General features: G+C 36.7%; 1 pseudogene across 1 annotated transcript in view; it reads right to left on the reverse strand.

The window, feature by feature from the left end:
* The window catches only part of AKR1C6P (aldo-keto reductase family 1 member C6, pseudogene), a 44,607-nt pseudogene extending 18,780 nt beyond the window's left edge, over nt 1-25,827 (reverse strand). The window contains exons 1-3 of the transcript NR_026743.1: nt 25,747-25,827; nt 23,290-23,356; nt 1,437-1,578 (exon numbers count right to left, since the gene is read on the reverse strand). The product of NR_026743.1 is annotated as an aldo-keto reductase family 1 member C6, pseudogene (transcript). The remainder of the gene's footprint in view (nt 1-1,436; nt 1,579-23,289; nt 23,357-25,746) is intronic.
* Nucleotides 25,828-26,879: the final 1,052 nt, after the last annotated feature.

The raw sequence follows: 26,879 nt of genomic DNA on the forward strand, positions 1-26,879 counted from the left end.
ATTATCTATCTGCATAAAGATATAACTTTAGACACAATAAATTATTAATTTACCTATCTAAACTTGGAAAAACAAAGAACATTTGAGGAAGAACAAAAATAGGAATCATTTTAAAAAATCATTTTAAAAGAAAATTTTTAAAGAAATAGCTTTTAAAATAAAATAAGCTATTTTCTTTTAAAATATTTTAAAATAAATTATTTTATTTTTAAAATAAAAAATTATTTTAAAAGAAAAACTTTTTTCACTTAAAAAAACTCATAATTAATTCTTCTTTTGGTTGCTTTGCTGGTTCTTAGGCATCACTTTCTCCTTCACATCTTTCTTATATTTTTTTATTCTCCTGGCCCACCAGCCTGGACTCTTTAAGTCATCCATAATTTTTCTGTTTATATTAGCACCCCCTACACCTCACTCAGTAATTATAATGCCTTTTGGGTATATTTGTTTCATTTCTATCTACCGTTGAGTCAACTGAGTCCGTAAAGATAAACTATCCCCAGGTTAAAGAGCCAAGGCATGGCAAAAGCAATACTTCATGAGAGTCTTCTTTGCAGTCCTCAATGGTACACACCATGTTTCTTTTGTGTTGGGAAACAATCCTACAACTTTTATAACATTCTTCACCAGGAACCACTGAGATGTGCCCTTGTAGGTCTGGAGTGTTTGATCCAGAAACATGCATGGAGCCAAAGAGAAGAGAATTTTCCAAGTACTACATAACTCTTTGATGGCACCGTCTTACCAACCTGGCTTCTCAGAGACCGTGGCCACCTTAGACCACACAGCTACCTCTAAGCCTGCCTCTCTTTCCCCAAGTTCCTTTGCCACACAACTTTCTCTAGATACTCTTATTGGTGGTGAACAGGGAGGACTTGGGTACTAAAAATTACAGCACAACTTTAAAGTTTGCTGTGAAGTTTCTGGCACATGGTAATCATGTCAATAGTGTTTTATTTCCTCTAATATACTGTGAAAATGGCTACAACTGTACAACAAGAGAGAGTAACAGCCACAGACTTACCCACCCCTGAATTCTGAGCAATTGCTTGCACACTTCCATCTCTCTTGACGGACTGCCACTCCAAGCGTGGTTTTGGACAAGCAGCATCAAAATTGCTTGGGAGCTTATTATAAATGTGAATTTTACAGCCTCATCCAAGATCTACTCAATCAGAACCTTCAGGGATAGAGCCTCCAAATCTGCATTTTTAACAAGATCCTGAAGTGTTTATATCACTACTAAAACGTGAAAAGCCTTTACTTAATCCACAAAGTGGTGAGTAAGGGCTAACTTCTCACCAAGGGCTAACTTGGTGAGAAGTGTCTTAAAATGAGAAAAGTGAGGCCCACCTGAATTTCCCAAACTCACATAGTGACTAATTCTGATCAGGAACCACCTGCTACTCCTCCATCCCCAATGCCATTATGGTTACCTTCCTAGCAACAGAGGTGCCAAACCCCAGAATAGGCATGAACTTTCCATCATTCAGTTTTACAGAAAGGAGTCTGTTAAAACTCATCTTCTTTTACTTTTCCTGCAAAGCAGAGGGTTTTTTTCCCTTTATTAAGGGAAATCTGTAGAGAAAAGAAAATACAATGACTATTTTTATAACAACCTTTTTTTCTTTTGAGATGAAGTCTCACCCTGTCGCGTGACCTCTATATTGATCTTGTATCTTGTATCTATATTGATCTTGTATCCCACAACTTGTCTGAACTTGTTTATCAGCTCTAATAGTATTCTAGTAGATTCCTTAAGATTTTCTTTTTTCTTTTTTATGAGAATAGAAATGGGGCCTCACTATGTTGACAAGGCTGGTCTCAAACACTTGGTCTCAAGCAGTCCTCCTACCTCAGCCTCCCTAAATATTGAGATCACAGGTGTGAGCCAATGCGACTAGCCCATAAGATTTTCTACAGGCATGATTATGTAATCTGCAGGTAGAAATAGTTTTATTTCTTTTTTATAATGGCTTGGCTGGTGTCCCTCTAAAATTCATGTTTACCCAGAACTTCAGAATATGACCTTTTATGGAAATAAAGTTTTTACAGATATAATTAGTTAATATGAGATCATAATGAATTAAGGTGGGTTCTAAAGTCAATGACTAAAGTCTTTAGAATAAGAAGAGAGAATACAAATACACACAGAAAAGAAAGCCATGTAACCATGAAGGCAGAGATTGAAGTGATTCAACTATAAGCCAAGGCATGCCAACTGCTACTGGGAGCCACCAAAAGCTAGTCAAAGGCAAGGGAACCATCTTCCCGAGAGCTTTCATGGGGAGCATGGCCCTATAAACAACTGGATTTTTGACTCAAGTCTCCAGAACTGGAAGAGAATACAATCCTCTTTTGTTGTTCTAAACCATCCAATTTGTGAGTAATAGGTTATGGCAGCTCTAAATCTAAAATATTTTCCAATCTGGATGCTTTTCTTCCCTTGCCTAATTTTCCTAGCTAGAACCTCCAGTACAATGCTTAATAGCAGTGGCAAGAATAGACATTCTTATGTTGTTCCTTATCTTAGCAGGAAAGCGTTCAGTCTTTTACCAATAAGTATGAAGTTTGGGTTTTTTTTTAATAGTTGCTCTTTATAAAATAAAATCTCTTTTATTCCTAGTTTTTTGAGTGTTTTTTTAAAATCATGAAAGGATGTTGGAGTTTTTAAAATGCTTTTTCTGAATTTGTTGAGATGATCATGTAGTTTTGTTCTTCATTCTATTAATACAATGTATTATATTGATTGATTTTTGTATGTTCAAACAATATTGCATTCCTGGAATAAGCTTCACTTGGTCATGGTATATAATGCTTTTATGTGCTACTGGGTTCAATTTGCTGGCATTTTATTTATATTTTTATAGCTGTATTCATAAGGGATTTTGTTCTGTAATTTTTTTTCTTGTGATGTCTGTCTGGCTTTGGTATCTGGTAATACTGGTCTCTAAAAGTGAGTCCTTAAAAGTGTTCTTTCCTCCTCTATTTTTGGAAGAGTTTGAGAAAGTTAGTGTTAATTTTTAAATGTTTGGTAGAACTCATCCATGATGCCAACTGTATCTGGGCTTTTCTTTGTGAATTTATAAAAATATATATTAGTATTTACATCACTTTACTTGTTATAGAACTGTTTATATTATCCATTTTTTCAGTGTTAGTATTTTATATTGTTCTAGGAATTTGTCATTTCATCTGAGTTATCTTTAAAGAGATTGCAATGTCTCCTCTTTCATTTTTTATTTTAATAATTTGCATCTTGTCTATTTTTTGCTTGATAAGTCTAACTAAAGGCTTATTGTACCAGACAAATCACTAAGTGACCTTGAATTGACATTAATACAAATAGTAAGTTTTATCTCAACACCAGTAGCTTAATAACAGCAGATACAAAGCAGGCAGGAAAGGAAATAAAGGATAAATAGTTACAGAAGACTCTCATTAACTCTGTAGTTACGGGTTAACCATTTAAGCTCTGAATTTTTATTTTCAATTTGCCCATCAGTTTTAAAATATGCACAGGAATAGACCATAATATGTAATCAGCTGGATTCCTAGCAAACCTGGCATGCCTCTGAACTTCTGCGGGTGTTCCTACCCTTTCTTCCTTTCCTGCTCTAATGATTCCTCAGTAGCCAGCATTTTTGCAGAAACAGCACGTTTGCTCTCCTTATCATACTTTTAATATATTAGCTTCTTGCAATATGTGCTCAGGCCTTGTCTGTTTTCTGAGCATCCTGGTACTCATGTGATGGCCCACATAGCTTCAGCAGTTGGGCAGCTTCACCCCACATACATGTTACCGGCCACCCCAGTATTCCCCCTGCAGACGCCCCTCCCTCACACATCATTTGGTATCTAGGATCCTGTTCATGATTCCAATTGTGATGAGAAAAACCTTCCCCCAAACTGGGAGGGAACTGAGAGGCCAAAGAATGACTGTAACAAGTCTAGCTTGGTGAGTAGATGAGTTTATTAAGACTTTACGTGGGGCACTCCTGGATAGTGGCAGAACAGCTCCAGAGATCTGCGCCTCCTCCTGTCTCTAAGCTGCTTTTAAGCTAATTTTCTGGCACTTTGCCTGCTGTGTGGCTGTGATGGGGCTGTTTCTCTTGGTAGGTTCTCAGATCCTTTTGGGGATGTTTGGGTTCTCAGGAACACCTGCTCCTCAGCTGGACACCATGACCTTGGCTCACCACCTGGCCTTCAAGGTTTAAGCAGCAGACATTCACCCTTAAGTAACCTGGTGGAAGACCCATCACACATAGACACACACACACACACACACACACACACATACACGCACACACACACGCATGCATTTTGTGTGCTGGAAGAACTGGGCCAGCTGTCTTGGCTGTCTGGAGAGGATATTCTAATATCGTGCATTCTGGATTTGTCTTATCATTTCTTTTGTGGCGTTAGTTGGTTTCTCTATCTCTTTCTGTAAATAGATATTGGATTTAAAGACTTGATTCGATTCCACTATTTAATTTTTTAAAAATTTTTGTGGGTACATAGTAGGTATATATATTTATGTTGTACATGAGATGTTTTGATACAGGCATGCAATGTGTAATAATCACATCATGTAGAATGGGGTATCCATTCCTTCAAGCATTTATCATTTGTGTTAAAACAATCCAATTGTACTCTTTTAATTATTTAAAAATGTACAATGAAGTTATTATTGACTATAGTCACCCTGTTGTGCTATCAAATATTTAGGTCTTATTTATTCTTTCTACTTTTTTTGTACCCATTAACCACCTCCACTTCCCTCCCCTCCAACCCCCCTCCCCAGCTACACTTCCCAGCGTCTGGTAACCATCCTTCCACTCTCTATGTCCATGAGTTCAATTGTTTAGATTTTTAGATTCCAAAAATAAGTGAGAATATGTGATGTTTGTCTTTATGTCCGTGGCATACTTCACTTAACATAATGATCTCCAGTTCCATCCATGTTCTTGCAAATGACAGGATCTCACTCTTTTTTATGGTTGAATAATACTCCACTGTGTATATGCACCATATTTTCTTTATCAATTCATCTGTTGATGGACACTTAGGTTGCTTCCAAATCTTAGCTATTGTCAACGGTGCTGCAACAAATACAGGAGTGCAGATATTTCTTCTGTATACTGATTTCTTTTCTTTTGGGTACATACCCAGCAGTGGGGTTGATGAATCATATGATAGCTCTCTTCTCCGTTTTTTGATGAACCTCCAAACTGTTCTCCATAGTGGTTGTACTAATTTACATTTTCACCACAGTGTACGAGGCTTCCCTTTTTCTCCACATCCTCTCCAGCATTTGCTATTGCTTGCCTTTTGGATATAAGCCATTTTAACTAGGTTGAGATAATATCTCATTGTAGTTTTGATTTGCATTTCTCTGCTGATCAGTGATGCTGAGCACCTTTTCGTATATCTGTTTGGCATGGGTATGTCTTGTTTTAAGAAACATCTATTGGCTTAGGATTGACTTGGCAATGAGGGCTCTTTTTTGGTTCCATATGAACTTTAAAGTAGTTTTTTCCAATTCTGTGAAGAAAGGCATTGGTAGCTTGATGGGGATGGCATTGCATCTATACCTTAGGCAGTATGGCCATTTTCACGATATTGATTCTTCCTACCCATGAGCATGGAATGTTCTTCCATTTGTTTGTATCCTCTTTTATTTCATTGAGCAGTGGTTTGTAGTTCTCCTTGAAGAAGTCCTTCACGTCCCTTGTAAGTTGGATTCCCAGGTATTTTATTCTCTTTGAAGCAATTGTGAATGGGAGTTCACTCATGATTTGGTTCTCTGTTTGTCTGTTATTGTTGTATAAGAATGCTTGTGATTTTTGTACATTGATTTTGTATCCTGAGACTTTGCTGAAGTTGCCTGTCAGCTTAAGGAGATTTGGGGCTGAGACGATGGGGTTTTCTAGATGTACAATCATGTCATCTGCAAACAGGGACAATTTGACTTCCTCTTTTCCTAATTGAATACCCTTTATTTCCTTCTCCTGCCTGATTGCCCTGGCCAGAACTTCCAACACTATGTTGAATAGGAGTGGTGAGAGAGGGCATCCCTGTCTTGTGCCAGTTTTCAAAGGGAATGCTTCCAGTTTTTTGCCCATTCAGTATGATAATGGCTGTGGGTTTGTCATAGATAGCTCTTATTATTTTGAGATACATCCCATCAATACCTAATTTATGGAGAGTTTTTAGCATGAAGCATTGTTGAATTTTGTCAGAGGTCTTTTCTGTATCTATTGAGATAATCATGTGGTTTTTGTCATTGGTTCTGTTTATATGCTGGATTATGTTTGTTGATTTGCACATGTTGAACCAACCTTGCATCCCAGGGATGAAGCCCACTTGATCATGGTGAATAAGTTTTTTGATGTGCTGCTGGATTCATATTTTATTGAGGATTTTTGCATTGATGTTCATCAGGGATATTGGCATCATGCTACCTGACTTCAAACTATACTACAAGGCTACAGTAACCAAAACAGCATGGTACTGGTACCAAAACAGCGATATAGACCAATGGAACAGAACAGAGCCCTCAGAAATAATGCTGCATATCTACAACTATCTGATCTTTGACAAACCTGACAAAAACAAGAAATGGAGAAAGGATTCCCTATTTAATAAATGGTGCTGGGAAAACTGGCTAGCCATATGTAGAAAGCTGAAACTGGATCCCTTCCTTACACCTTATACAAAAATTAATTCAAGATGGATTAAAGACTTAAATATTAGACCTGAAACCATAAAAACCCTAGAAGAAAACCTAGGCAATACCATTCAGGACATAGGCATGGGCAAGGACTTCATGTCTAAAACACCAAAAACAATGGCAACAAAAGCCAAAATTGACAAATGGGATCTAATTAAACTAAAGAGCTTCTGCACAGCAAAAAAAAAACTACTATCAGATTGAACAGGCAACCTACAGAATGGGAGAAAATTTTTGCAATCTGCTCATCTGACAAAGGGTTAATATCCAGAATCTACAATGAACTCCAACAAATTTACAAGAAAAAAACGAACAACTCCATCAAAAAGTGGGCGAAGGATATGAACAGACACTTCTCAAAAGAAGACATTTATGCAGCCAAAAGACACATGAAAAAATGCTCATCATCACTGGCCATCAGAGAAATGCAAATCAAAACCACAATGAGATACCATCTCACACCAGTTAAAATGGCGATCATTAAAAAGTCAGGAAAAAACAGGTGCTGGAGAGGATGTGGAGAAATAGGAACACTTTTACACTGTTGGTGGGACTGTAAACTAGTTCAACCATTGTGGAAGACAGTGTGGCGATTCCTCAGGGATCTTGAACTAGAAATACCATTTGACCCAGCAATCCCATTACTGGGTAAATACCCAAAGGATTATAAAACATGCTGCTGTAAAGACACATGCGCACGTATGTTTATTGCGGCACTATTCAGAATAGCAAAGACTTGGAACCAACCCAAATGTCCAACAATGATAGACTGGATTAAGAAAATGTGGCACGTATACACCATGGAATACTATGCAGCCATAAAAAATGATGAGTTCATGTCCTTAGTAGGGACATGGGTGAAGCTGGAAACCATCATTCTCAGCAAACTATCACAAGGACAAAAAACCAAACACCGCATGTTCTCACTCATAGGTGGGAATTGAACAATGAGAACACATGGACACAGGAAAGGGAACATCACACACCGGGGCCTGTTGTGGGGTGGGGGAAGAGGGGAGGGATAGCATTAGGAGATATACCTAATGTTAAATGACGAGTAAATGGGTGCAGCACACCAACATGACACATGTATACATATGTAACTAACCTGCAGGTTGTGCACATGTACCCTAAAACTTAAAATATAATAAAAAAAAACTAAGAAAAATAAACAAACTTTATAAGATAAAGCTGGAAATAATGACAGATTAAAAAAAATCTATTCAAATCTTTTGACCATTTTTTAAATTGGATTATTACATTTTTTTCCTATAGAGTTGTTTGAGCTCCCGATGTATTTTGGTTATTAATACCTTGTCAGATGAAGAGTTTGCAAATATTGTCTCCCATTCTGTGGGGGTTTTCGCTTCACTTTGTTAATTGTTTCCTTTTCTGTGCAGAGCTTTGTAACTTATGATTCCGTTTGTCCGTTTTTGCTTTGGTTGCCTATGCTTATAGGGTATTAGTCAAGAAATTTTTGCCCAGACCAATGTCCTGAAGATTTCTCCAATGTTTTCTTGTAGTAGTTTCGTAGTTTGAGATCTTAGATTTAAACTTTTAACCCATTTTGATTTGATTTTTTTGCATATGGCAAGAGATAGGGGTCTAGTTTCATTCTTCTGCATATAGATATCCAGTTTTCCCAGCACTATTTATCGAAGAGATTGTCTTTTCCCTAGTGTATGTTCTTGGCACCTTGTTAAAAATGAGTGCACTGTAGGTGTGTAGATTTGTTTCTGGGTTCTCTGTTCTGTTCCATTGATATATGTGTCTGTTTTTATGACAATACCCTGCTGTTTTGATTACTATAGCTCTGTAGTAAAATTTGAGGTCAGGTACAAGGCTACAGTAACCAAAACAGCATGGTACTGGTACCAAAACAGATATATAGACCAATGGAACAGAACAGAGGCCTCAGAAATAACACCACACATCTACAATCATCTGATCTTTGAGAAACCTGACAAAAACAAGAAGTGGGGAAAGGATTCCCTATTTAATAAATGGTGCTGGGAAACCTGGCTATCCATATGTAGAAAGCTGAAACTGGATCCTTTCCTTATACCTTATACAAAAATTAATTCAAGATGGATTAAAGACTTAAATGTTAGACCTAAAAGCATAAAAACCCTAGAAGAAAACCTAGGCAATACCATTCAGGACATAGGCATGGGCGAGGACTTCATGACCAAAACAACACAAGCAATGGCAACAAAAGCCAAACTAGACAAATGGGATCTAATTAAACTAAAGAGCTTCTGCACAGCAAAAGAAACTACCATCAGAGTGAACAGGCAACCTACAGAATGGGAGAAAATTTTTGCAATCTACCCATCTGACAAAGGGCTAATATCCAGAATCTACAAAGAACTCAAACAAATTTACAAGAAATTAAAAAACCTGTCAAAAAGTGGACAAAGGATATGAATGGACAGTTCTCAAAAGAAGACATCTATGCAGCCAACAGACACATGAAAAAATGCTCATCATTACTGGTCATTAGAGAAATGCAAATCAAGACCACAATGAGATACCATCTCACACCAGTTAGAATGGCAATCATTAAAAAGTCAGGCAACAACAGATGCTGGAGAGGATGTGGAGAAATAGGAATGCTTTTACACTGTTGGTGGGAGTGTAAATTAGTTCAACCATTGTGGAAGACAGTGTGGTGATTCCTCAAGGATCTAGAACTAGAATTTCCATTTGACCCAGCCATCCCATTACTGGGTATATACCCAAAGGATTATAAATCATGCTACTATAAAGACACATGCACATGTATGTTTATTGCAGCACTATCCACAATAGCAAAGACTTGGAACCAACCCAAATGTCCATCAATGATAGACTGGATTAAGAAAATGTGGCACATATACACCATGGAATACTATGTAGCCATAAAAAATGATGAGTTCACATCCTTTGCAGGGACATGGATGAAGCTGGAAACCATCATTCTCAGCCAACTATCACAAGTACAGAAAACCAAACACCGCATGTTCTCACTCATAGGTGAGAATTGAACAATGAGATCACTTGGACACAGGGTGGGGAGCATCACACACCTGGGCCTGTCAGTGGGTGGGGGGCTGGCGGGGGGATAGCATTAGGAGAAATACCTAATGTAAATGATGAGTTGATGGGCACAGCAAACCAGCTTGGCACATGTATACCTATATATCAAACCTGAAAGTATAATTTAAAAAATATTTGAGGTCAGGTAATGTGATTCCTCCAGTTTTGTATTTTTTGCTTAGGATAGCTTGGGTTATTCTGGTTCTATTAGGCTGATAACAACAGTGTTTGTATAAACAAACAAACTGGCAAAAATAAAACTAATAAAAACTTTACACCTTAAGTTCGTACTCGTACCCCAGCTTTTAAACTTTTTGTTGTTTCTATTTATATCATATTGTACTGTTTATGTCTTGAAACGTTGTTATTATTTTGATTGGTTCATCATTTAGTTTATCTGCTTAGGATTAGAGTAGTTTAGACACCACGGTTACAGTCTTATAATATTCTCTGTTTTCCTGTGTACTTGCTGTTACCAGTGAGTTCTGTACATTCAGATGATTTCTTATTTCTCATTAATGTCCTTTTCTTTCTGATTGAAGTGCTCCCTTTAGCATTTCTTGTAGGACAGGCCTGGCATTGATGAAATCCCTCAGCTTTTGTTTATCTGGGAAAGTCTTTATTTTTCCTTCATGTTTGAAAGATATTTTCACTGGATATGCTATTCTAGGGTAAAAGATATTTTTCTTCAGCACTTTAAATATGTCATGCCACTCTCTCCCGGCCTGTAAGGTTTCTATTGAAAAGTCTGCTGCCAGATGTATTGGAGCTCCATTGTATGTGTTTTTTTTCTCTCTCTCTCTCTCTCTTTTGCTGCTTTTAGGATCCTTTCTTTATCTTTGATCTTTGAAAGTTCGATTATTAAATGGCCTGAAGTACTCTTATTTGGGTTAAATTTCCTTGGTGTTCTATAACCTTCTTGTATTTGAATATTGATATCTTTCTCTGGGTTTGGGAAGTTCTCTGCCATCCCTTTGAATAAACTTTCTATCTCTCTTTCTTTCTCTACCTCATCTTTAAGCCCAGTAACTCTTAGATTTGCCTGCTGATTCCTTCCATTGATTTTACCTTTTTTTAGACAACTGTCTTAATCAAGTAACTATCAACATAGTAGAAAGTATTAGTGGAAAGTATTAGTGGCACATAACACCTCACACTCTAAAAAACAGCATATGTTAAATTCGAAAAATGATGTGAACTCATATCTTCAAAATAACATCTTCCAGGCTGGGTGCGGTGGCTCACACCTGTAATCCCAGCACTTTGGCAGGCCAAGACGGGTGGATCAGTTGAGGTCAGGAGTTCAAGACCAGCCTGGCCAATAACGTGAAACCTCATCTCCACTAAAAATAGAAATTAGCCAAGTGTAGTGACATGTGACTGTAACCCCACCTACTTGGGAGGCTGAGGCAGGAGAATCGCTTGAACCCAGGAGGCAGAGGTTGCACTGAGTCAAGATCTTGCCACTGTACTCCAGCCTGGTGACAGAGGGAGACTCTGTCTCAAAAAATAAAAATAATAATAAAAAAATAAAAAACACATCTTCCAGCCCAGTAGTACTTTTACCCCACCAGTTCTTTCTTGTGTGTTGAGATGGAGTCTTGCTCTGTTGCCCAGGCTAGAGTGCAGTGGCGTGATCTTGGCTCACCACGACCTCCACCTCCCGGGTTCAAGCGATTCTCCTGCCTCAGCCTCCGGAGTAGCTGGGATTACAGGCACGTGCCATCATGCCCAGCTAATTTTTGTGTTTTCGGTAGAAACGGGGTTTCACCATCTTGGCCAGGCTGGTCTCAAACTCCTGACCTCAGGATCCACCCACCTCAGCCTCCCAAAGTGCTGGGATTACAGGCGTGAGCCACCACACCCACCCCCCACCAGTTATTTTCATGTGCAACACTAATGACCAAAATTTGTTTGATCTATTTCCCTCTAAAAGAATTTTGTCTTCTTGTAGTATAACTGTTTTTTGTCTTAAAGCAGGCAAAATAAGGACAAATCAGAATATTGTGTTATGTCCAGAAAGCAAGGTTGGTTTTGAAGGCTGCTAGCAATGATTCTGAAAGGGCAAAGCTGCTCACTGAAGGAATCCTATTAGACTCACTGTGACATTTAAAAATGAAAATAGTGTTAACATTGTTATTTGGAAAAGTGGAGTCTATAAAAAGCCATGAATTAATAATTATGCTGAAAAAAGCAAATTCATATAAAGTTTGGAGAAGGTAGCTAGAATATAAAAAGAGGTGAACAAAATGTTTAATTCGTTACTGATTTTAATAAGTTAGGGAAGATTATATGTACGAGCACTTTTTTTTCTTTCATATGAGTTTCAGATTAGAGAATGAACAACATGTACTTCTTTCTGGTTTCGGAAGCAGAAACTTGAAAGCAAGCCAAGCAGTGTTGAAAGTGTGACAAGTACAAGAATAATCAGTTCAATCAGTCATCATACAAAATAAAGGTTAAGCACTCCAGTGGAAAGTACCAGTTTTCAAACACCAATAAATGGAAACTCTAAAATGCATATCAACTCAGGACACACAAGTTTGAGAAACGACTAAAGCTTATGAGAAAGTCAAAAGGCACAGACATTTGTTTAACTGTGTGGAAAGAAGTGCCTTTGTGTGAAAGAGAGCTCACTCGGCCTGATGATTGTGGCCTTGGGATTGACTCATCCTGGGAAAGGGACTCACGCTTAGGACTGAAGGGGGCCAGCCCCTCCACACCTGTGGGTATTTCGATTCAGGTGGGAGGAGAGACTGAGAAAAGAAATAAGACACAGAGACAAAGTACAGAGAAAGAACTGTGGGCCGAGGGGACCAGCGCTCAGCATACGAAGGACCCGCACCGGCACCAGACTCTGAGTTCCCTCAGTATTTATTGATCATTATTTTTACTATCTTAGCGAGGGGAGTGTAGCAGGGCAACAGGTGGGGAGAAGGTCAGCAGGGAAACATGTGAGCAAAGGAATCGGTATCATGAATAAGTTCAAGGAAAGGTACTGTGCCTGGATGTGCACGTAGGCTAGATTTATGTTTCTCTTTACCCAAACATCTCAGCGTAGAAAAGAGTAACAGAGCAGTATTGCTGCCAGCATATCTCGACTCCAGCCACAGGGCGGTTTTCTCCTGTCTCAGAATAGAACCAATGGGATTGGTCTGCTTTACACCTAGACATTCCATTCCCAGGGACGAACAGGAGACAGAAGCCTTCCTCTTATCTCAACTGCAAAGAGGCCTCTCTCTTTCACTACTCCTCCTCAGCACAGACCCTTTATGGGTGGGATGTCGGGCTGGGGGACTGTCAGGTCTTTCCTTTCCCACGAGGCCATATCTCAGTCTGTCTCAGTGGGGGGAAACCTTGGACAGTACCTAGGCTTTCTTGGGCAGAGGTCCCTGCAGCCTTCTGCAGTGCATGGTGTCCCTGGTTAATCGAGAATGGAGAATGGCGATGACTTTTACCAAGCATACTGCCTGCAAACATATTGTTAACAAGGCACATCCTGCACAGCCCTAAATCCATTAAACTTTGATTCAATACAGCACATGTTTCTGTGAGCACAGGGTTGGGGCTACAGTTACAGGTTAACAGCATCTCAAAGCAGAAACAATTTTTCTTAGAACAGATCAAAATGGAGTTTGATATGTCTTCCTTTTCTACATAAACACAGTAACAATCTGATCTCTCTTTCTTTTCCCTACATAGGACCTGCTGAGAAACAATATCAATTAATCAATTATCCAAGTTCAGCAATTTCAGCTGGTCTTTTTGGGGATATTTCAATAAAGCTTTATTCATGAACACTGAAAGTTTTAATTCATGTAATTTTACATGGCATGAAATAATATAAATCTCTTACATTTTCAATCGCTAAAAAATATACAAACCATTTTTGGCTCATGGGCTATACAAAACTGGGCAGCACGTTAGGCTTGTGGGCCATAGTTCTGTATAGTTAGTGGGTATTATTATATCTGTAGTTATTTTTCTATAAATTCTTATTTTAAAATTATGATCACATACATACAATGTAATATTTATTATTGTAACTATTCATAAACATATAATCCAGTGGCATTAAATGCATTCACAATGTTGTGTGACCATCACCATTTCTATACCCAAAACATTTTTGTCATTCTTAGCAAAAACTCTGTACCTATTAAAAAATTTCCTTTTGAGTTGTTCATTGTTGGTGTATGGAAACACAACTGATTTTTTTGTGTGTTGATCTTATACTCTGCAACTCTGCAGAATTTATTTATTAACTCTAGAAGATTTCTTATGAATTATTTGAGATTTTCTACATGTAGGGTCATATCGTCTGTGAAGAGAGGATTCCTTTTACTTCTCTTTCTTGTCTGATAGCTCCAGCCAGAATATCCATTACAATGTTAAATAGTAGTGATGAAGGCAGGCATCCTTGTCTTGTTCCTCACCTTAAGGGGAACACTTCCAGTCTTTCCCCTTTGAATTTCTCACATATGGCTTTTATGTGTGTTTTTTACCTTTATTATATTAATTGTTTTATTACATTAATTGATTTTCTTCTTTGAACCATCCTTGTGTTCCTAAAGTCCCATTGGATGATGATGTATAATCCTTTTAATATGTGATGGGATTGGATTTTCTAATATTTTACTGCAGATTTTTGAATAAATATTCACAGGGAATAAAGGTCTACAGTTCTCTTGCAATAACTTTATCTGAGTTTTGTATCAGAGTAATGATAGCCTCATAGAATGAGTTTGGAAGTGTTCCTTTCTCTTCAAGTTTTTGGAAGCATTTCAGGATTGGTATTATTTCTCTTTAAATGCATGGTAGAATTCACCAGTGAAGCCATCTGGTCCAGAACTTTTCCCCACTGGGAGGTTCTGATTACTGATTAAATCTCTTTACTTGTTACAGTTCTGTTGAGATTTTCTATTTATTCTTCAATTAGTTTAAATAATTTGTGTGTTTTAGGGAATTTGTCCATTTCTTCTAGGTTACCTTATTAATTGACATGCAATTGTGATAGCATTTTCCTATAATTCTTTTTATTTTATAAGGTAACATTCTCACTTTCATTTATGATTTTAATTATTTGCATTTACTCTCTTTATATTTTTGTCAGTCTAGCTAAAGCTTTGACAATTTGCTGGTTTTTTTAAGTACAAACTTTTCTTTTCATGAATTTTCTGTATTGTTTCTCAAGTATCTTTTATTGTTTTCACTCTAATCCTTATTATTTCCTTCCATCTCCTAGCTTTGAATTTAGCTTGTTCTTTTTTTTAGCTTCTTATGATGTAAAATTAAGTTATTGATATGAGGTCTTTCTTCTTTTCAATGTACGTATTTACAACTATAAGTTTCCCTCTGAGCATTACTTTTACTGCATCTAATAAGTTTTGGAATGTTGTGATTTCATTTGTATTCCAAGTTCTTTGTAATTTCCCCTGTAATTTCTTCTTTGACCTATTGATTATTTAAGACTATTTCATCTAATTTCCATATAATAGTGAATTTTCCAGTTTTCCTTCTGTTATTGACATCTACCTTATCTCATTGTGGTTAGAGAAGGTAGTTAATATAATAGCTATCTCTTAAAATCTATTGAGATGTGTTTTGTGACCCAGCATAGGGTTTATCCTAGAGAATGTTCCATGTGCAGTTGAGAAGAATGTGTACTCTGTGCTTGTTGGGTGGAGTGTTCTTTATATATTAATTAGGTGTAGTTGGTTGGTTTATTGTATTGTTCAAGTTCTCTATTTCTTCATTTCTGTCTGGTTGCTCAATCATCTATTGATGGTGGGGTATTGAAGTCTCCAGTTATTATTGTAGAACTGTATATTTTTCCCTTCTATTTTGTCACTTTCTTGCTATATATATTTTGAGGGTTTATTATTAGATCTATAAATGTTTAGAATTATATATTCTTGCTGTAGTCTTTTATTAAAATATAATTTATTCTTTGTTTCTTGTAAATTTGATTTAAAGGCAATTCTATCTGATATTAATATAGCCAGTCCATCTCTTTTGTAGTTATTATTTCTATGGAATATCTTTCTTTATCTTTTCACCTTCAAGCTATTTGTGTCTTTAGATCTAAAATGAGTCTCTTTTTTGGCATCATATAGTTGGGGTGGTTTCAATTTTTTATCCATCCTGCCAATCTCTGTCTTTTGATTGGAGTGTGTAGTCTATTTAAAGTTAATTATTAATAAGAAAGGGCTTACATCTGCCACTTTTCTCTCTGTTTCTTATATATCTTATGCTCTCTTCTTCCTCATTTCTTTCGTCCCTATGTTCCTTTGTGTGTAGTTAATTTTTTAATGAAACATTTTGATTCCCTTCTCAATTCCTTTTGTGTAGCTTCTGTAGATACATTCTTTGTTACCATGGAAATTACATTTAGTCTCCTAAAGTTATAACAATCTAATATAAACTTATGCCAACAACTTCAAAAGCTTACAGAAGTTCTGCTCGTAACAGCTCCGTCCACTATTTTATTATAATGTAATAGATTACATCTTTATACATTGTGTGCCCAATAGCATACATTATAAGTTATTTTAACAAATTTGTATTTTAAATCTAGTAGAAAATAAAAAGAGGATGTACAAACCAAAATGAAAATAGTAGTAGCTTTTATAATTGCCCATGTATTTATGTTTACTGGAGATTTGATTTCTTCAAGTGGCTTTAAGTTACTGTCTAGCTTCTCTTATTTCAACCTGAAGGACCCTTTTTTGTATTTCTTGCAGAGCAGGTTTAGAGGTAATGAGCTCCCTCGGCTTTTGTTTATCTGGAAATATCTTAATTTCTCCCTCACTTTTGAATGGCAGTTTTGTCAGATACAGAATCCTCAGTTGACTTTTTTTTTTCTTCTAATGTACTTCTTTCAGTATTTTGAATATATCAACCTACTGCCTTCTGGCCTCCAAGGTTTCTGGTTGCTTCTGTCTTACTGCCTTTAAAGTTCTCTCTCTCTTTTTATTATTTTTAAATAATTTTATTATAATGTGTTTTGGTGTAAGTTTCTTTGAGTTTATCATAGTTGGAGTTCTTTATAATAGCCATACCCCTAGAAGGTTACAAAACTAATCTAGAAATAATCTTAAAAATTACGGTCTTTTAAAAAAGGATTAAGTGTCAGTATAGTAACATATTTTACAATCTTTGCATTTGTATGTTTTATCTGCAGCCAGTTTTATCAGCTATGAACCTGGCTTTGCAAAAATTATAACTGAGGAAACCATGACAGTGAAAGAGATCAGACCTAATTGATTCCATGTTGCTTCTAACCTTTAAGCTATCCTTGCTCATTTCTGGGCGTGCACCAAACTAACTATGGGAAGGAATTCAGTTCATGGTTTGACTCTGAAACAAAATTGATAACAGCCCTTTCCTGAAAAGACCCCCTTCTTGACTGGGGACCAGTCTGCCTTTCCAGGACTAACAAATTAGCTACAATATTAGAAGTTATGGTTTAGGGGTCATCCAGCCTCTGGCTCCAAGAGTCTGAACCTACCCAAATTGCTCCTGGGGATAACATCACTATTGTAAAAGTGAAGATCAGCACTTGAGATATTTTGCAGACTCTGTACTCCATGGATCAGCTGACACCACCCAAACCAATAATATAGCTGCTCAGCCAGTCTGCCATCCCACCCAGGGACAAAAGACAGCAAGAAGACCACCCTTCAACCCCCTATGATTCCATCTCCAACCTGACCAATCAGCAGCACTCCCCACTTCCCCAGCCTCTACCTGCTAGATTATCTTGACAAACTCTGATCTAATAATAAACAATAAAACTCCAGTCCCCCACACAGTGGGCTCTGCGGGAATTACTCTTTCTCCATTGCAATTCTCCCGTCTTGATAAATAGACTCTGTCTAGGGAGTGGGCAAGGTTAACCCACTGGGCAATTACAGGTATATAAAATTCTTAATTTCACCACAAACTGTTTAAGAAAACTTGATTTTTCAAAATTTTAATCAATGTGTAAATATTCAGAAAAAACTACTTTCTGTGTTTTAATTGGTAGGATACAGTCAATCAACTTGGTGTAAAACTAAGCAAAATTAATTGTAGATATTATTTCTCTCCAGGCACAAAAACGTGTTTTGAACCTACTCTAACCAACTGTCAAAAGGCTGTGTTAAGTGATTCTCTGACAAGGTAAGATCTAATGCTTGGTGTCTTTTTGAAGTTTTTCAAAATTGCCTCCAATATCAACCTTCCCTTCCCTTTCAGCATTCTGTTCCCTATCTTTCAGCTCATCTTTCTAGTTTTCCTATAGCAAGAAAACGTGTTCAGAGAGCAAGATAATTATATGTATTGATTCTATATGAGAAATATCACCTGTTCTGTCATTAGGGGCTTTAAATATGCCTACCTTATTAAAGAGCTACTTCTCTAGACACAACTGTGACTGAAGAATTAATTCACTCAAGATCCAATATTACCCACAGCGACTCCTTCAATCTCAACCTCCTACTGTGTCAAAACCAAGCTTCCTTCATGAACACTTACCTATACCAAGAGTGCAGACTTTCTTTTCCCTATAGTAATTCAAACTGGGTATTGTGTTGCTTTTCCCTACCACTTTTCTCTTCTGGGACTACTTATATTTACTGTAGTGCATCTGTCTAATTTCAAATATTAAAGAGGCAGGTTCTGTAGTGACAAAGGACTATAGGGAGTTGGTTTTATCTAAACTTTAAAGTAGTGGTTTTCAAAGTTTGGTACCAGAACCTATGGGGTCCCTAGAATCCTTCTGGGGGCATGATGTAAAAATTATTCTTATGATAATACTAAGAACCTATTTCTTTTTTACTCTCATTCTTTTGTGAACGTACAGTGGAGTTTCCCAGAGGCTTATGTGGTATTGATAGATGCAGGACGCAGATAAGGTGGGGGTCGAGGGAGTCCCCAGAGAATCTCCGACCTACTCCGCAAGTGTTTACATCAGATGCTTTCGTGCAGATGAGGGAACCTGCCCAGGGTGTTGTCTGCACATGCCCACAATGGACTGGGGACCCGCCTGTGCACTGGGAGAATAAGGTGGAGCCACAGGAAGTTCATGGCCTGTGCAGCAGGAGGAGCCTGGCCTCTTCTGGTCCTGTGTGTTGGCCTGGTACTCAATCTGTGAGGTGGTAGCATGTTAGCAGGAGTCCCTCTCAATTTGCTGACAGCTTTTTTTTTCTCCTTTTTCCTATTTGCCCATACATTCTGCTCTCTTCACCCTTCAATGTGTCCACATGCCTCATTTATCCTGGTCATGACACAAGAACCGGGATTTAGCTGAACTAAGAAGCAAAAATTCTGCATCATTTTGGTGGCGTGTACAGGGACATGAGGAAGGGTGAGTAAGATGTGAACCAAAAAAATCATTTTCCCTTTTGTTTCTAAGCCTTTTTGTACTCGGACTTCTTATGAGGATAGAGGAAACTGTGTACCACCCTACCTCAATGGCCACAGGTGCTCCCTGCCCCCCTTCGCTCCTGACTGGGATGCATGGCCATAACTGCCACAGGTGCGTGTGGTGTCTAACGGCCATGCTGGGCAGAAATGAGCCACAGCCACTGCCTGGGCCCCAAAGTGGCCTCAGGGACCCAGGCCCCATGTGGCAAGCTGGCCAGTGTTCCCTGCAATGCATCTACGGAGTCTTCCCCACCCCTGGCCAAGGGGTCCAGCTCCATCAGACAGTAATTAAATTTCTCTCTCTGTTGTAGGAACCATTTGCATAATTAAAAAACATCTTCCCACCCCTGCACTTTAAGCTTTTTTTCTTTTCTCCACCAGGTCAGGAGTTAACTTTTAAGTGAGACCTTTTTTCCCCCTTTTAGAAAACGTTTTACTAGGCCAGGGCCCCAGCTGTCACTGTTTATATTCTCTGTAAAGTTTGAATTATAAAAAAGGATTTGTAAGGTTGGTCTTAAGCTGCAGCCAATCTGGTGTGCTCTGCATGTCTTTCTGTATGGTCAACAGCAAACTTTGCTGCAGGCCTCCATATTGTTTTACATCCTTGGAATTGTGACCTGTAACCACATGGTAGTGCTTTATTTTAGCTTCTGCCATTTTGCAATGGCAGCCTACGTTCAATCCTGGCTTAGGGAATGAGTCTTTTCTGGTTTGATATCTGTGTGACTTTTGCCATTTGTTGATTGTCTTCCATTCTACAAACTGCCTTGGATTTTCCTTTTCCTGAGCCTTTAGTAAAGTTTGAAAGCCAGAAATATTGGCCTCTTGGCACAGCTAAAGTGGGGTAACAGGGATATAAAGGGTTTTCTTAAAGAGCGCTCAGCTTAATTAAAAGTGAATGTCCAAGTTACAGGTATATTTAAAAGGCCTTTATGTTTTTTCTTCTTGGCTCTTGCTTTCCTGGAAAAAGGTTTTTTTCTCATTTGACTGAATTATTTTTCTCCATTTTGCCTTGCCACTCATAATATACTCATGAGTGGGGAGAGACCTCGGATTTCCTCATGCAGCCTCAGGAATTAGAGGCGGATGGAGCCCTCTCAAAATCTGTTTTGTCTTCCAGCCATACCTGTTTATTAGGCCCTAGAAACTGCATGTTTTCCTAGCCTTGCTCTTAAGGCTCCCGCTTGCAGTGCAAACCAGTAAAAGGCCTCAGGATTTTTGAGCTCTTCTTATCCCACCTTGTTTTCTTTTGATACATGTTTTCTAATAACCCAGTTTGTCTCTTCTCACCTTCAGGCCAACAAACTCCAACCAGTCATGCAACTAGAGCCCTGGACAATGCCCTCTTCTACTGGGAACCCTTAGATCAAACTCTGAGGGAGATCTGACTGCTGTTTTCCCAAAACAGTACCCCTTGTCAGCAGGACGCACTTCAGATTTGTCTTTGCCTTATCCTTATCCTTACTCTAACAGCTCCATTAGATGTATTTCTTTAGGTGGGGAATGATAGATGCAGGAGGCAGCTGAGGGAGGGTCCCTAGAGAATCTCCAAGCCACCCCACAAGTGTTTACATCAGATGCTTTTGTATAGATGAGGGAACGTGCCCAGGGTCTTGTCTGCACATGCCCACAACGGACTGGGGACTTGCCTGCCTGCTGGGAGAGTGGAGTGGAGCCATGGGAAGTTCATGCCATGTGCAAGGGGGAGGGGCCTGGCCTCTTTAGCTCCTGTGTGGTGGCCTGGTACTCAATCTGTGAGATGGTAGCCTGTTAGCAGGACCCCCCTCACTTTTTTTCTCTTTTTTCCTTTTTGTCCAAAAAATTCTGCTCTCTTCAGCCTTCAATTTGTCCATGTGCCTAAATTTTTCTGATCATAATACAAGAACCTGGATTTATCTGAGCTAAGGAGCAGAAATTCTGCATCAGTGTATGACATTGCAACAGATTAAGGCAGAAGCAGATTTGAGATTCTGGCTGTCCTCTGTGAAGCTACTCATGAGATTTTCAAAATTATAAAACCACATCATTTTTCTCTCAATGATTTTTGTTTGGTGAAATATTGTATTTTGTTATAAAATGTATTATTTATGCTAATAGGTAATAGGTTTATTTCTTAAATAAATTGATGCATAAATATTTAAAAGTTTTTTTTAGTTTAAATTTCTAATTTGGTGCCTATCAATGGATGTAGCACATGTAAACTAAAGCTTTGGGGGTCCTCAATAATTTTTAACAGTATAAAGTGTTCCTAAGACCAAAATTTTGCAAAAATATAGTTTCAAATTTATTTAAGGTACTTCAGGCTGTGGGAAAAGATATGGAAAACTCTCTATTTTATGAGGCTAGCATAACTGATAATAAACCTAAAAAATAACAAATGAAAAAATACAAGTATAGCTCAATTACACTGATGAGCCTAAATGCATAATTCTAAATAAAAATATTACTTAATAGAATCCAAGACTGTATAAAATAAAATAATATGCCAATTTGTAAGTTTTAATGTCAGTGTTATAATTATTTTTTATATCTGGAGATCTAGTAACATAATTTATGACATCAATAAATTTTAAAAGAATAAAAACATAAATTTATATCTATAGATGCTTAATGATATTTTAGGCAAATAAAACTATAACTAAAATATAAATTGAGTAATTATTTAAATGGAAATAAAAATAATTTACCAAAACACCCAGTAAATTTTCCTGTTGCAAAATATTGAATTAAAATGTACAAATAAAGAGATCACATCACCATTTTAATTTTTATTTATTTTTTTTTTTTTTGAGAAAAGGTCTCACTCTATCACCCAGACTGGAGTGCAGTGGTGCGATCATGGCTCACTGCAGCCTCAATCTCCAGGACTCAAGTGATTCTCCAACCTCAGCCTCCTCAGTAGCTGAGTCTACAGCTGCGCACCAGCACACCCAGCTAATTTTTGTATTTTTTGTAGAGACAGTGTTTCACTATGTTTTCTAGGCTGGTCTTGAATTCCTGAGCTCAAGCAATCTGCCCACCTCAGCCTCCCAAAGTGCTGAGATTGCAGGTGTAAGCCATCACGTCCAGCTTTAAAATTTTTATTGCCATTTTTGTCAAGTACCAGACACTATTAATTACAGAGCATTATTTTGTGTACCTCTAAGAAAGAAAAATGCTAATTATTATTTTAAGGTGCCATGAATTAGACATGTTAAACTGTGAAAATATATATACTTTAGAACTGGCTAACTATAGTAAAATTGTCTTGGATGCTGCAAATACAATATCAAAAGAGAACAACTGGTGAAATATTGGATATTATTATAATACAACTAGAAAATTCGAGAGATCCTAGTAAAAAAAACACTCAGTAGAATAAACTGGAAACTTCTGTAGTGACTGTATACAAAACAAATGCACAAAACTTGAGCCAAAGCATCTAGAATTGGAAATGAATAAAAGTTGCATTCACTCAGATAACAACTTCAAAATACTTAGGAATAAAGTTGACAGGATTACTAGAGATTCCACAGAATAAAACTATGTGATATCATTGAAGGCATATAATAAGGTCTGAACAAACAAAATGTAACATTTTTGGATGAGAAGACAATCTATTAAAATGTAAATCTCATAAAATAATATATATATATCCAAGAAATTCTATTTCAAATTCCAACTGACTTGTTTTTAATTGGATACAATTTCTTTAAGTGTATATAAAAATTAATGTGAGAGAGAAAATTTATGAAAAGTAGAACAGTGAGGGAAACTTGCTTTAATGGAACTCACATCATATTGCAAAGCCAATATATTCTAAGCAATAACAATAACATTGGTATAAGTTTACACAGAAATATCAGTTAACTAGACTAGGAAATTCAGAATTAGTTTTTATTTATATAAGAATTTAAGATATGATTCAAAAGGTAGTGCAATTCAGGGGAGATAATAAGTTATTTAATAAATAATGCCTGAAAAATGTTATTGACCTTACAAATAGAATTCTATACCTTCTGACATCATATATGTCCAAAAAATTCCAGCTATATGACACAAACTATAAAAAACGAGGAGGAAAAACTTACAAGGAATGTCCAACGTGCCATCTTGTGTGACAGAAGACCTTGTTTAATAAACAACAACAACAAAATCCTTGCAAGAGACAGAGATATTTCGTTATATAAAAAAATTAAACTTTTGCATGAAAATTTACTATTAACACAGTTAATAAGTAAATGGTAAATTTGGAAAACTTTTATAAATCAGGCAAACTGAGGGTGATATTAATAACCTGAGAGAGCTGTTAAAAATTGTCAAGAAAAGGACACATAATTTATAAAAGAGTGACTAAACTCTGAGATGTTTCAAGGAAAAGAGGTCCAAATGGTCACAAGCATAGTCAAAGTTGTATAGTTTCACTAGTCATTTGAGAAAAGCAAATTAAAACAATAAGGAGATTTTTTTCACTATACAGCCATTTAATTGGCAAACATTTAAATGACTTATATTACCTATTGTGGGCAGAAGCATGGATAAGAAGGTAAAAAATTTTTTAAAAAGTACTTTCCTATGTTGCTGATAGAAATGTAAAACTGAATTTTAAAAGCAATCTGGTAACAGCTACAGAAAGTATAATTTTACAGACCTTTTAAGCCATAAATCCTGATCGCATAGAAATGAAAGCTCCCATGTAGTGGCATGCATGCCAGGATATTTTACACAAACGTGTTTAGTGCCATCACTGTACCCACATGAACACTCACCCACGGGCAATCACTGGTAACTGTGGTGCACCGACTCCAGTAACACTGGAGTCTAATTACTATAGTCTAATTCCTCTACTTATTTTCCTAAAGAGAGTCTTGCAAGGCCTGAGAAGTCCAAAAATGTGTCATCCCAGCCTTCCACACCCATTGCCATATTTATGGAGGGAGGGAAGAAAGAGAAAAAGAGAGTCAAGACTCTTCAGAGGATTCGCTCCTCTCAGAGATCAGGAATGAAAAATTAACCAATAAAATAACACTGGTGCACTTAGAGGAATTTCTATGTGCTAGACCTCACAGGACGGTGTATCAGGATCCAGTTTTGTTAAGCCATGACCAAATACTTTCTGTGTGTTGTATTTATACATACATATATATAATATATACTTTATATATGAAATATTTATATATTATAAAATTATATGTGAAATATTTAAATATTTCATATATAAATATATAATATGTAATTATATATTTGAGAAAAAATATATGTTATGAGAAATATATATATATTACACCAGAATAATTATACACCAGAATAATTACACCAGAAATAAATATATATATTTGAGAAAAAATATATATTAATATATATTATATAATATATATTATATAATATATAAATATATAATTATATATAACTATATAATATATTAATATATTAAATATATAATATATAAATATGTAAAGTATATAATATCTAAATATATATATTATAAATTCACACAGGGACAGAAAACCAAATACCACATGTCTGCACTTATAAGTGGGAGCCATTTATAGATATAAAATATATACATATTTTATATATAAAATATGTTATATATATTTCATATATATTTTATATATATAAATTTATTATATATAATTATATTTATATATTAATATTATATAATTAAATATGTATAATTATATGTATACTTATAATTATATACTATATAATTATATGTATACATATAATTATATATAAAAATATATATATATATTTTTTAAGATGGAAGTTCGCCCTTTTTTCCCAGGAGTGCAATGGTGTGATCTTGGCTCACTGCAACCTCCACCTTTCAGGTTCAAGCAATTCTCCTGCCTCAGCCTCCCAAGTAGCTGGGATTACAGGCGTGCCCTGCCACCATGCCTGGCTAATTTTTTGTATTTTTAGTAGAGATAGGGTTTCTCCATGTTGGTCAGGCTGGTCTCGATCTCCTGGCCTCAGGTGATCTGCCTTCCTCAGCCTCCCAATGTGCTGGGATTACAGGCGTGAGCCACTGCACCCAGCCTACATATATATATATATATATGTTTTTTTTTTAAAGAAATAGTTCTGTATTATATGAGCATGGGGAAAATATGGAAGTACATATTAAGCTGTTAATAAATTAGTGTGAGGAGCTGCTGAAAAGAGTGACATGGAAAGGAAAGGGCATAAGGAGATCTGAAGAGAAAGAAAAAAGTTCAGCTACACAGCATGTATATATCCATGCGACTGAGGACAAATAATTGAAAGAAAAAGTAAAAAGCAGAACATGGTTGCATTTATGCATTTATTTAAAATTACATAATTATAATTTATATCCTTTATATAGAAATAATTAAACAAGTTTAGCAAGTAATTTCAAATTACAAAGAAAGCCCTAAGAAAGCACTCAATATAATCACTTAAAAGACCAAAAAGTATGCATGATAATTTAAAGCTTAGTAACTGGGAATGGTCCCATATTGAGACAGGAATATTTCCTGACATCCAGAGAATTGTTTCCTATAAATAAAGATTTTGGTGCTTACCTCTAAGTGATGTCTAGGACATGTCCAATCATGAATAGAAAAACACTGAACTTCACAGCGGGTGTAAAGGGAGAAACCATTGCCCTTTAGACATTGGAAAAGTTCTTATGTTCTTGCTTGCCTTGTGATCTTTTATTGTGAAACTTGCAAAATAAATTGATCTTGGCTGTTACCTGCTCTTTTATATTTAACCCTCCCTCCTATGCTACAGTTAAAGTCACAGACCAAATTATTTATCATAATCAAAGCAGAAGTGGGTCAAGCACAGATTTAATAACTATTTAATAGAATTTAATATTGATTTAATAGATATTAAATTTAAATTTAATATCGATTTAATAGAATATTTAATAGAAAAATAATAACAATAACATATCCCTAAGGACCCTCAGGCAAACAGTAGCCCTTCCTGAAATGTGAGAACCTGGCCGGCCATGTGCTTGTCTTTCAGAAAAGTGTCTGAATCTGATATGAAAATTCAGAAGTTATTCATACAATATATTCTCATTGGAAAACTTGAACCATTTGGCCCAACAATCCCATTACTGGCTGTACACCCAGAAGCTTATACATCATTGTGTTATAAAGACGTGTGCCTGTGTATGTTTATTGCGGCACATTCACAATAGCAAAGCCGTAGAATCCACCTGAATGCCCGTGCATGACAGACTGGAGAAAGAAAATCTGGTCCGTATACAACACGAAATGCTGTGCAGCCGTAAAAAAGAACAAGATCGTGTCCACTGCAGGGACATGGATGGAACTGGAGGCCGTTATCTTTAGAAAATTAACACAGGGACAGAAAACCAAGTACCACATGTCCGCACTTATAAGTGGGAGCTAAATGATGAGAACACATGGACCCAGAGAGGGGAACAACACACACTGGGGCCTTTCGGAGGGCGGAGGATAGGAGGAGGGAATCAGGAAAAATAACTGATGGGTACTAGGCTTAATACCTGCGCGATGAAATAATCTGTACAACAAACCTCCATGACACAAGTTTACCTGTGTAGCAAAACTGCACTTGTACCCCTGAACTTAAAATAAAAGTTAAAAAAAGAATTATCTTAATATAGATACAATAAGTTGTCATTTCTAGAATTAAAAACATGTATCTTAGTATGAATCAA

Source organism: Homo sapiens, chromosome 10, assembly GCF_000001405.40.
Source record: "Homo sapiens chromosome 10, GRCh38.p14 Primary Assembly".
Classification (NCBI taxonomy): domain Eukaryota; kingdom Metazoa; phylum Chordata; class Mammalia; order Primates; family Hominidae; genus Homo; species Homo sapiens.